Source organism: Homo sapiens, chromosome 3, assembly GCF_000001405.40.
Source record: "Homo sapiens chromosome 3, GRCh38.p14 Primary Assembly".
NCBI classification, from domain to species: Eukaryota; Metazoa; Chordata; class Mammalia; order Primates; family Hominidae; genus Homo; species Homo sapiens.
This window is the reverse complement of record NC_000003.12, coordinates 121,473,934-121,487,075: the sequence shown is the minus strand read 5'-3', so window position 1 is coordinate 121,487,075 and position 13,142 is coordinate 121,473,934. Positions and strand designations below refer to the sequence as shown.

The 13,142-nt window shown below is 37.0% G+C and overlaps 1 protein-coding gene across 1 annotated transcript in view; it reads left to right on the top strand.

Moving 5' to 3' along the window:
* Positions 1–13,142, top strand: part of POLQ (DNA polymerase theta) — a 114,558-nt gene that overhangs the window by 58,913 nt on the left and 42,503 nt on the right. The window contains exons 17-20 of the mRNA NM_199420.4: positions 1,892–2,035; positions 3,494–3,690; positions 5,264–5,504; positions 10,343–10,536. Of these exons, the coding sequence (NP_955452.3) occupies positions 1,892–2,035; positions 3,494–3,690; positions 5,264–5,504; positions 10,343–10,536 (776 nt within the window). The remainder of the gene's footprint in view (positions 1–1,891; positions 2,036–3,493; positions 3,691–5,263; positions 5,505–10,342; positions 10,537–13,142) is intronic.

Sequence of the window (13,142 nt, the reverse complement as noted above, 5' to 3'; positions counted from 1 at the left end):
AAAAGTTTATAAAAATAAAGATAATACATATTTTGAATATGAACGTGACATTTCTTTTATGGTATATTAATGTTGTAACATAATGGTTTTTATTAATCACCAGTGCTCATGAATTCTTTTCTTTTTTCTTTTTCTCCTTTCTTTTCTTTTCTTTCTCTCTCTCTCTCTCTCTCTCTCTCTCTGTCTCTCTTTCTTTCTTTCTTTCCTCTTTCTTTGTCTTGTTCAGTTGCCCAGGCTGGAGTGCAGTGGTGTGATCTTGATCTTCGCTCACTGCAACCTCCACCTTCTGAGTTCAAGCAATTCTCCTGCCTCAGCCTCCCAAGTAGCTAGAAGTACAGGCATGTGCACCATGCCCAGCTAATTTTTGTATTTTTAGTAGAGATAGGGTTTCACCATGTTGTCCAGGGTGGTCTCAAACTCCGGACCTCAAGTGATCCACCTGTGTTGGCCTTTCAAAGTGCTGGGATTACCGGCATGAGCCACTGCGCCCAGCCCCATGAATTATTATTATTATTATTATTTTTTAGACAGAATCTCGCTATTGGCCAGGCTGGAGTACAGTGGCATGATGTCGGCTCACTGCAACCTCTGCCTCTCGGGTTCAAGCAATTCTCCTGCCTCAGCCTCCTGAGTAGCTGGGACTACAGGTGCATGCCATCATGCCTGGCTAATTTTTTATTTTGTATTTTAGTACAGATGGGGTTTCACTGTGTTAGCCAGGATGGTCTCAATCCCCTGACCTCGTGATCCACCCACCTCGGCCTCCCAAAGTGCTGGGATTACAGGCGTGAGCCACCATGCCCGGCCTCATAAATTATTTTCTATTAAATTGTAATATCCTTGTTTGCTTATGTAATTACAAAATTACATTGCTAATAGGAACTTTGTTCTTCACAGTGTACATTAGCTACATTTTCCAAGATTTATCTTGAGTAGAACTTAGACCTCCATGATAGTCATGAATTGTATACTGAAATGTTGCTTCCAAAACCTTGCAGAGCTCTTCCAGGTTTTGAGAGAGTTGAACCTTTTGGTCAAATAAGGCTATGTATATTCCTGTCTTATTGCGTGAGCTCTGCCTTCTGGATTGTGGGGACCAGTTGTAGTCAGCTGTGGAAATCAGGTGTTTGATTAGATTTATTAAACCTTGCTATTTTATGAATTAATTTGTTCATAAAGGTTTGAGTATTTGTCTGATTTTCAATTCATGAAGCAGATGTGTTAACCACAACTTTTATGTACTTTTAGTGTTGAATAGCACTTTCCATTTTTGATGTAACAAACAAAATTGAGCACATTTTCTGTATCAGGCTATATAATAGAGGCTAGAGGGATAAAAAAGTTCACCTAAATTTAATAAATATGTACTAAGTTCCTATGTGCCAGTTATTTTCCTGCTACTAGGGATATAATTATCAATAAGACGGATTGATTCTTGACCTTTATAAAATTGGAGATACATTATTTTAGGAATAAAACATTGACTCTAGATACAAAATTATGCTTCTTCACTAAGGAGTAATAGTCTTTATTTTTCTGGAGTTTCTTAGCTAAGAATTGCTGAATTTGCTGCAAAATATTTGTAGTATGCAAATGATCTGTATTTTTGTTTGAGTTATAAAATTTGAAATGCAGCCTCCCTTTCTTGACGTTAATCATTATAGATTTATTTTAACAAATCCTTGATAGCTTTTTCATAGTGACAGTTATCTTAATTGATGGGAAGCCTGGAAAGATCTTACTTATACTTAAAATGACTGTCCAAATGCATATTTTAAGATCTGGAAATTTTGCCTATCAAAGATAGGTTTTTTATTATAATTGTTTTAACAATTTATGTAATGTCTTTATTTTTAGAGATTTTTAACTGTTTCACTTTTGTTTTACTTAGCTAGCTCACCTCAGGAAATTCCTATTAGAGATGATGGATTTCCCATTAAAGGTTGTGATGACACCTTGGTGGTTGGACTGGCAGTATGCTGGGGTGGAAGGGATGCCTATTATTTTTCACTGCAGAAGGAACAAAAGCATTCTGGTAAGTAATGAGTATTTGGCTAAGTCACTATGTAATTACTGTAACATCCATTAGGGTAGTGATCTTATATTTTGAGAATAATTTCCTGATATTTACCTAGGATTTATTTTTAGAGTTAAATTTTTTTTTGTTTGTTTTTTGAGACAGAATGTCACTCTTTTGCCCAGGCTGGAGTACAGTGGCATGATCTTGGCTCACTACAACCTTCACCTCCTGGGTTCAAGCGATTCTCCTGCCTCAGCCTCCCAAGTAGCTGCTATTACAAGCATGTGCCACTGCGCCGGCTAATTTTGTATTTTTTTAGTAGAGACAGGGTTTTACCATGTTGGTCAGGCTGGTCTTGAACTCCTTACCTCAGGTGATCCACCCGCCTTGGCCTCCCAAAGTGTTGGGATTACAGGTGTGAGCCACTGTGCCTGGCAAAAATTGTAATTTTTTGGAGAGCAGCTGGCATGTACATTATTGCATATATTAACTAGAATTAATGTTTTAAGAAGCACTTCCTTACTTCTCCCTGCCTGTCACACGAGGCTATTCATGCTATGGGTTTTTCCTCTGAGGGGGCAGTGAAGACTCAGGGACTCTCTTGCCACCTTTAGGGTTTGCTTTTGAAGACTAAACGATGGCAGTTTATTTTCAGTCTTCTGTCCTACCATTGAATGGGTCTGAAACTCATCTAGAGGGAATGTTGAGCTAGAGATCTATAGTAGTCGAATTATATAAACTTTGGAGAAGTCTTTAGAGTGGAAAGGATGTAATCTGGAAATACCCTGTGATCTGAATGTGGATGTTGGATACCCCAGCTGATAGGTTGGTTTTGGACAGGAGCAAAATTAATAAGGAAACATTTTAAAGGATGCTGTATAGTGTCTGTTCCTTAGTAAGCATGAAATATTTTCAGTTGTTTTGCAGGAAAATATGTTGGGGTGAGTAGTTACTTAAGCTTTTTTTAGGAGCAAAATTAATAAGGAAACATTTTAAAGGATGCTGTATAGTGTCTGTTCCTTAGTAAGCATGAAATATTTTCAGTTGTTTTGCAGGAAAATATGTTGGGGTGAGTAGTTACTTAAGCTTTTTTTTTATTTTGGATAGAATAGTATGTGTTCATACTAAATCTCTCTTTAAAATTCATTTCCAAATACTTTTCCTGTCTTTAACTCCTCATTTTGGGAAATGTAATTTTGTTTTTACAAGTATTAATATTTAATATTTTCTCCCACCTAATTAAGTAGAGCATTAAAAATCTTCTAGCCCAAGTCATAATTTTTAGATATATGATGCACTTCATCTACATAGCTGATATGACCTGGATAAGATGCTGAATTACTCGTCACATGGAACCAGACCCTTAGCCTTCTGAGTCTTTTTCAGTCTTTCTACTAAAGATTGCTGCTTCAAATGAATGCATGTAATTTTTGCCTTAAAAATGTTTTTTCCTTTTTTTTTTTTTTTTTAAAGAAATTAGTGCCAGTTTGGTTCCACCTTCTTTAGATCCAAGCCTGACTTTGAAAGACAGGATGTGGTACCTTCAATCTTGCTTGCGAAAGGAATCTGATAAAGAATGTTCTGTTGTCATCTATGACTTCATCCAGAGCTATAAAATTCTTCTTCTTTCTTGTGGCATCTCCTTGGAGCAAAGTTATGAAGATCCTAAGGTTCTATGTCTAATTTAATTTTTATATACTTAAAACAACATTTTTAGTGTTAATTCTTAAATGACTTGGTATTTACTTAGCATCAATAATGCAGCTTAAAAGTATTTTAGAGTAGTCACTTCTTTATTCAATAATCTCATCTACCCAGAATAGAATATCATGCACCAAATATCTCTGTGTAGATAAAAACAGAGATGTCACAAATTTGGAGCCCTAAAGTTTATGTCTTTCCTCAGAGATTTTTAAAAAATTTTAATTTGGGTCATAAGTCCTAAGTTTTCTGTCTGATAGTAAATTGGAAGTGAAATGAGAACAGATTTAGGTGTATGATAGCAGGAGGTCTTAAATATTCATGAGGGTGGAGGCAGAAAATTGGAAAAGAGTGTGAATAAGATGACAAAAAGGATTGTAGTTAGTGGCCATTTAGCATAGAGGCAAATCCCCTTACTGGCTCCTGAGAACTTTCCTTTATAATAGCAAAGTATGATGCACTCTTCGTAATGATGACTCAGTTAAGAAACATGTTAACTTTTACATCAGACTATTTCACTCAATATTCCCCTATAAAACTTTATTCTTAACCTACAAAAGAAAGAATTGAGTCATATAGTAAAGTAATTGTCAGAATTATGAACAGGGCTTAGATTCCCTTATTCTAATCCAGTTAATGATCTGCCTGATCTAGTATTAGAAACTACAGGACTCCTAGTCTTATGAGGAAGTTGGAAATAGCAATCAAATGAATAATTGGATGATTCTGGTGACAGACCCCCCCCATTCTGAGGGGAAAGTGTAGAGGCTTTCTGAAACTCTGGATATAAACTTTTAATGGTAAAACATTTATGCGTCACTTTTTTTTTTTTTTGAGACGAAGTTTTGCTCTTGTTGCCCAGGCTGGAGTGCAGTGGTGCAATCTCGGCTCACTGCAACCTCCGCCTCCCAGGTTCAAGCGATTCTTTTGCCTCAGCCTCCTGAGTAGCTGGGATTACAGGTGCCCACCACCATGCCCAGCTAATTTTTTGTATATTTAGTAGAGACAGGGTTTCACCATGTTGACCAGGCTAGTCTTGAACTTCTGACCTCAGGTGATCAACCCGCCTCAGTCTCCCAAAGTGCTGGGATTACAGGTGTCAGCCACTGCGCCCGGCGCCTCACTTCTTTTGATGATGAAAGAACTAAATATACCTAAAACCTCACAGGCCCATCTTTATTACAGTAGCTTAGCCCAAATTAGCCTTAGTGGAGGAGTCCATCTTCATTTTCAGACACATGGTTTGAGTTTGCTGAGACACACTTGTTTTTCAAGCCTACTGCTAAACTGGATCGGCCTGAGCATTGTAGGAATGGAATAGTTACAACTTTCCTTTCTTTGAAAGCTACTGCTGTTGTTGCTACCAAAAATGAGTCCTGTTACAATTATTCTTTCCTTCTTTCCTGGGAAGACCACTGAATAAATATTAAATGAAAATGAGTGAGGTTAGAAATGAGCTTTGTTTTTTTCCCTTTTCATTTAGAGGTACATAAGTGTCTTTGAAAAAAATCAGGAAAATATTCTCATTGCTATCCCATTCAGGTGGCATGCTGGTTACTAGATCCAGATTCTCAGGAGCCGACTCTTCATAGCATAGTTACCAGTTTTCTTCCTCATGAGCTTCCACTCCTAGAAGGGATGGAGACCAGCCAAGGGATTCAAAGCCTGGGGCTAAATGCTGGCAGTGAGCATTCTGGGCGATACAGAGCATCTGTGGAGTCCATTCTCATCTTCAACTCTATGAATCAGCTCAACTCTTTGTTGCAGAAGGAAAACCTTCAAGGTAAAAACCAAGTTTCTGGCATTTTTATGTTATAGATTAGAGATAGAGATTTAGCCACTCTTTATCAAAAATGGGTAAATTACACATTTATGCAAATCCTACCTTTGGATTGTCTAGTGCTTTTTTTCTGTAAAAGGCCAGAGAGTAAATATTTTTGGCTTTGTAAACTAAACAATCTCTATCACAAATACTCAACTCTGCCATTGTAGCAAAAGAGCAGCTGTAGACAAGACCAAAACAAATGGCTGTCTTCCAATAACACTTTACAAAAACATGCATCTAATGTTAGTTTGGCCATAATTTGCTGACTTCTGGCCCTTGTGTGAAGAAGAGAATTACAAAATCGCATTTATGCAGTTGTTGGTAATTTTGTATTTGAACTTTATCAAAGGATTTTTATTCACCCTTAGAAGACATCCTTAATGGATTTCAAAAAGTTAACTCTTTTCTTTTTGGAACTATTAACAAACAGATGTTTTTTCACAGCAAGGGATAATCATGAGAGTCTCTTTTTTCCCTCATGACAAATAACATGAATTTATTGTCATTGTTATCTGCTGGCCCAGATCAAGCACCCTGACTACAGAGAGCTTAACGGATGCTTATGGTAGAGATGTGAAGTAGAACAAATTTGGCTTCATTGTGAGGAGTGACCGAATTTATTGACTAATCAATAGGTACTAGAAAATAGATGGATGAATTCATACAGACTAGGGTTTGGATCTGGGTTATCCACTTATGAGCTGAGGGACTTTGGGCAAACTACTGAAACTGTAAGTCTGGTTCTTATAAAGTTGTTCTAAGGATTAAATAAGATAGTGAATATGGGCAGTGTTTGTCACAGAGCAGGTGCTTATTATGTTAGTTGATTATTATAATTTTTAACTTTCACAATTTCAATGTGCTTTTGAAAGCTCCTTTTTTTTTCTGCACTTTCAAAAATGTGTGGCTAGGCTGGCTCAGTGGTTCCTGCCTGTAGTCTCAGCTACTCAGGAGTCTAAGGTGGGAGGATCACTGGAGCCCAGAAGTTTGAGACCAGCCTGGACCACATAGTGAGACCCCATCTCAAAAAAAAAAGGGTGGTTAGGAGGTATTAAATGCATTTTTTACAGTGTTAATGCTTTCTTATTCATAGAATTCAAGAATTGAAGTGCACTGAGATAAGGGAAGTTTTTGGAGAGAATGTAGACAGCTATCAGATTTAGTTTGAATATAATTATTTCTTTGTAGAAAGAGATATAGATATGTTTTATTTTTAAAATTTTTCTGTTAGCCAGGAGGTATTCTCATCTGACATAGAAAGATATTTTAACTGCAACTTTGATTTCTTTAATAACTGTAAGATTATTCAGTTATTTCTTTTTGAATATATTTGGTAAGCTATATATATATATTTTTTTTCCAAATCTTTTTTTTCTTTTTATTACTCCACTGTGACATTCCCAACCTATATATTTTTAAGGAATTTATGTTTCATCTAAATTTTCAAATTTATTGATATACAGCTATTGCTAAGTCTCTCTTTTTTACGTCTCTGGTTTATTTGTTATATTCTCTTTTTCTTTCATAATATTATTATTTAATGTCACTTGAAGTTTTCCCAATTTTCTAGTCTTTTCAAAGAACCAACCTTTGCCTTTGATTCTTCCTATTACTTTTGTTTTGTATTTCCTTGATTTCTGTCCACATCTATATTATCTGTTTTCTTCTAGTTCCCCTGACTTTATTTTGTAGTCATTTTTCAATATTCATAACTTTGACCTTAAAACCATTACTTCTCAAATTATTTTTTTTCTTTTCTAACTTAAGAATATAAGGCAGCCGGGTGCAGTGGCTCATGCCTGTAATCCTAGCACTCTGGGAGGCTGAGGTGGGTGGATCACTTGAGGCCAGGAGTTTGAGACCAGCCTGGCCAACATGGTGAAACCCTGTCTCTACTAAAAATCAAAAATTAGCTGGGTGTGGTTGCATGCACCTGTAATCCCAGCTACTCAGGAGGCTGAGGCACGAGAATACCGGAGGCGGAGGTTGCAGTGAGCAGAGATTCTGCCACTGCACTCCAGTCTGGGCAATAGAGTGAGGATCTGTATCACAAAAACAAACAAACAAACAAAATATATATATATAGCTATAAATTTTCCTCAAAGCACTACTTTTATTGTATTCTACAGTTTTGATGTGTATACACACACACACACACACACACACATTTTTTTTTTTTTGTAGAGATGAGGGTCTTGCTATGTTGCCCAGGCTGGTCTCAAACTCTTGCCCTCAAGCAGTCCTCCTGCCTTTGCCTCCCAAAGTGCTGGGATTACAGGTGTGAGCCACTATTCCTGGCCTGATAATATTCTTATCATGCTAGATATTTTTAGATTTCTGGTATATTTTTTCACTCACAAATTATTTAGAAGAATGGTTTTTAATTCCCAAATATTTAGAAACTTTTATTTTGTATTTTTATTATATTTAAACTTAATTGTGTTGTAGTTCGAGTACATGGTTGTATAATACTAATTCTTGAAATTTTTAGCCAACGATTCATTATCTAAAACCTGAGCTGTTGTGTAAATGCTCTATGTGCACACAAAAGAATGTGTACTCTAATTCTGGATGCACAATTTTATATGTCTGTTAAGTCAAAGTTGTTTTTAAAATATTCTATGTCTAATTTTCCCTGTAATTCAATCAATTTTAACTTTGTTTTGAGGCCACTTTATTAGGTGTGTATGTGTTTAAAAATGATTTGTCTTCCTGGTGAATTAAACCTTCTATTATTGTATTATGACCATCTGTATTACAAATAATGATTTTTATTCTTAGTCTGTTTTCTTATATGAATATGGCAACATCAGCTTTCTCTTAATATTAGTTCATATAGCTTTTTTCTATCCCTTTTAACCTTTCTAGGTCCCTATCTTCAGACATGTCTTATAAACAAAGTATAGCTCATTTACTTTTCAGGCTTAACTTTTTTTTTTTTTTTTTTTTTTTTACAAATTTGCCAATTTATTGTGATTCTTGATGTATTTCTGCTTATTTGATTATTGATACACTTGTTCTCTATTTTCCTACTATTTTACTTTGTTTCTAGTCACTTTTTGTTTTGTAAGTAGTTCATTCACAGTTGTGCAATATTCTAACTAGTCCTTATCTGCAGTTTTGGGGATCTAAATTTCTTCTTGGTTGTTTCTTCTGAGTCCTATTCACATTTCTTTGCTGTCTTGTATTTTTCATATTTTTTGTGAGTTCATACAGGATTTATTATGATCAAGGATCCCTGCAGGACTTACGTGGGGGAAATCTTCCCTTAGAAAGGTTTTGCTCCTGCCTCTGCTGGGTACCACACTACTCTGCATCAAAGGACCGCAGTAGCCTTTGAGAGTTTTGTTTCAGAACAGGAGTCTGAGACTCTGCTCCTCATCCTGTTGTTGTTTCAAGGATCTATATCCCCTTAACTTTTTTTGCTATGGGACTCCATTCCCATAACGACCTTGCTCCTTCCTAATGGCTATGGATGCAGGCTAGCTTCCTGCCACTCTTACTTTGTGCTTCTCTGATTGTTCCTGTTCTGACCCAAGTTCATTATTTCTCTAGTCTCAAGTAACGTGAATTTCTCCACTAGTTCCAGGCTTCTAAAGCCAGGCTCTGACGGTCTCGTACCTTCTGCATGTAGTTAGAGGCCAGTAACTCTCATTTGTTTCTTTGCTTTTCGTGGTGGTTACGGGTGTCCCTGGAGATTTCTCATGCTGATTGAGACCAGCAGTGCCTCAAATAATGTTTGTGTGGAGCTGGGGAAGGTGGGCCAGGGTTGCTTAGATTCCTAGTGACTCAATACTGGAAGCTGAAGTCTTAGGGATTCTTTCTTAATGATTTAGGACAGCATTTCCTATAGTACATTCCATGGATGCTTACTTTTCAAGATGTTAATAAGTATTATATGAAAAAAGGGTTTAATGGTCAAATAAGTTTGGGACTTTCACTTAAAATAAAATTAAATAGTTGTCTTTGCTTCAGGTCCTCTCAGGGCCTTTAATATATAAGTTAAGTCTGCCTTATCCAAAATGTGGGACCAGAAGTGTTTTACGTTTCAGATTTTTTTGGATTTTGGAATATTTGCATATATATAATGAGATATCTTGGGGATGAGACCCAAGTCTAAATGTAGAATTCATATATACCTATAGACATAGCCTAAAGATAATTTTATACAATTATTTAATACTTTTGTGCACAAAATAAAATTTGTGTACACTGAACCATCAGAAAGCAAAGGTATCACTGTCTCAGTCACTCATGTAGGCAGTCTGTGGTTGTCTGGCGGAAAAGATATATTGAAGCTGAATGGGGCAAGGAGGGGCTTTTTTCCTTTAGAGACGCTGAATAAACTTTGTGTTGTACACCTGTGTTTTGACTGTGCCCTGTCACGTAAAGTCAGGTATGGAGTGTCCTAATTGTGGTGTCATGTCAGTGCTCAGAAAGTTTCAGATTTTGGAGCATTTTGGATTTCAAAATAAGGTTGATTGTTATGCTGCTGCTAAGAGTAGAAGCAGAAACATCTTAGGAGAAATACAGTCTCTTGTAATCCAGACTAGTCACAAGATTGCCGACTCTTCTACTCTCTGCAGAGACAAGGATAGTTGTCCAGTGCTAAACTAGCCTGTACTTTTCCACCTTTCATTGTTGGCTTGAGGATGCTGCTCGGGAGACTGGCTCCTGAAGGATACCTTGGTAGCATTTCTGGATTTTCCTAGATGAATTCTGTATAGTTTAGGTAAGGCTGCTGATCTAGCCACTTAGCCAATGAATTAACGTTTTAATTTTCTTTTTTCTTCCAGATGTTTTCCGTAAGGTGGAAATGCCCTCTCAGTACTGCTTGGCCTTGCTAGAACTAAATGGAATTGGCTTTAGTACTGCAGAATGTGAAAGTCAGAAACATATAATGCAAGCCAAGCTGGATGCAATTGAGACCCAGGCCTATCAACTAGCTGGCCACAGTTTTTCTTTCACCAGTTCAGATGACATCGCTGAGGTTGTATCATGGGGCTAGGGATATAGATACATAATTTTTAGAGTTAAAATGATTGTGTGTGTGTGTGTGTGTGTGTGTGTGTGTATTTACCTGAACACCAAAGGTCAGTAAAATGAAACAGCCAGTTAACCAGATTGCTTTGGGAATATTCTAGCATCTAATTTGTAAATTATATCTGTATTTAATTTACAAATAAAGGAAGGTAATAAAGAGGACTTCTAGAATGTAAGCTCCTTGAGAAGGAGATTTGCCTGGAACGGAGGAGGGACTCACTAAGTATTTGTTGAAGAAATGATTGGTACTGGTGGTTGCATGACAGCATAGCTATTTTTCCAGGAAGTTGGTCATTTCATGAGCCCTTACCCCTTCCTTGCTTGCCCTAACATCTTTCTATAGAATAGGAAACTGGATATTTTTCTGAATTAAATGAAAAAGGGATTTTTTGCTCATGAATTCTCATCATTTAGCTTCCACTTATAAATGAGAACATGCAGTATTTGATTTTCTGTTCCTTCGTTAACATATTTAAAAGAAAATGAGGAACTTGGTTTCTCTTATTCATGTGTTGAATTCAGTGGTGCCTTTTTTTTTTCTTTTTGGTATCTGCTTTTCAAATCCCCAAGCCAATACCTAGCTGACTGCACATAAAATTACATAGGGAACTTATAGAAAATATAGAATCTCTGTTTCAGCACAAGTAGGTTTGGGGCAAAGGCAAGAATTGCTGCCCTTGTGATTCAGATGGGCCTGAAAGCATGTAAGCTACAGGCCTTGAGCAAATCCTGGACTAAGAGTAAAGGGCCTTTGATAGTATTGGCTTCTTCGTCCTGCATGTCAAAATGGCAGTTACCTGGAAGGTAGTTTGTATGTGAAGTTTCACAGTTAATTCTGAAAGCTTCACCCCCCCAAAAAAATGCTTAAGCTAAAGAACTTCTAAATATATAACTTGAGATATTTGTGTTGTCTTTAATCATAATGGGTCTCTCTTCCTGGGTTTGCTGCTTTATTATTACTTTAATAGTGTTTTATTTTTCCTATCCAGTTGCTTGGTTTTTTTTCTCCTATACTGCCATTCATGTACCCTTTGATACCTATATTAGGGTTGCCTGATAAAATATGGCACATCCAGTTTGAAATTTGTATTTCATCCTGTCATTTTTGAAAACATGGAGGAACCTGAAAGACGTTATGCTAAGTGAAATAAGCCAGTTACAGAAAGATAAGTACCATATGTTTCAGATGATCTCACTATATGTGGAATCCAATGAAGTTGAACTCCTCGAAGTGGAAAGTGGAACAGCTGTTACCAGAGGCTGGGGGAGTAGGGAGCGGGGAAATGGGGAGTTGCTAGTCAAAGGGTATAAAGTTTTAGATAGGGGAATGGGGAGTTGTTTATCAAAGGGTACAAAGTTTCAGATAAACAGGAGGAATCGATTCTAATATTTATTGTACACAAGGGTGACTACAGTCAATAGTAACGTATTATATATTTCAAAGTAACTAAGAGTAAATTTCAAATGTCTTACCATAAAAAATGATAAGTCTAAGTGTGGTGATCAATATGTTAATCAGCTTAATTTAATCACACCACATTGTATACTTACATCAAAACATCATCTTGTACCCCATGAATGTATACAACTATAATTTGTCAATAAAATCAGGTAAACAATGGATAACAATTTAGTATAAGTATGCCCCATGCAACTCAAATTTAACTGGGCATTTTGTAATTTTATTTGGTATATGTGGCAACCCTAATCCCTATACATGCATATGTTCATATCTGTGTAACATAGTTCTTGGGCTAAATAGTTACTGACATCTGTAGTAAGCCTCAGTACCTTTCATTCCTAAAACCCCAGTTCAAACTGGAACCAGATCATTGTTTCTGTCATCATTACCATTCTAGAGAAGTACAGGGATTATCTTCCCTTCCACCCCTGGCTCAACTTGTGGGAAAAATTCTTGTACTTACACAAATAGTTTCAATTTTTAGAATTATTACTGGGAAAATAATCCAAGGTTCATTAAAACCCACTCAAAGTATATAAGTGAATGATTAGGTATAGTAGATAATGTTCTGAATTGCCCTAGTTTCATCCCCTCTCATCTGAGCTTGTGAGTGTTACATGGGGTCTTCCACCTCCCACACAGCACAGTTCTGGTGTCTTCAGTGGGTGCTACCGGCCCTCTCTAGCATTCATTATTGCCACATTGTATTGGCCACCTTCTCCTAACTTTTTGTGCCTAGGGACTATCAGGGCCCAGCATTGTGGTGGTGGGACTAGATGACTTTTCAAACCCCTTCCTACTTTAGTGTTTTCTGATTTTTGTAATGAGACAATAGCCATGTAAGCTTCCATGTTGATCTATGGGGCTTAACTGATTGAGCAGCCTCATTTAGGAGAGCTCACAATTCTTAGAGCAATAAGTCTCAATGTCAATAACTTGTTTGCCAGTTGCTCAGCACAGTGTATATACGTGCCTGTGTTCCTGACTGCTTAAAAGCTGGCTGTGTGTGGTGGCTCATGCCGATAATCCCACCACTTTGGGAGGCTGAAGCAGGTGGGTTGCTTGAGCTTAGGAGTTTGAGACCACCCTGG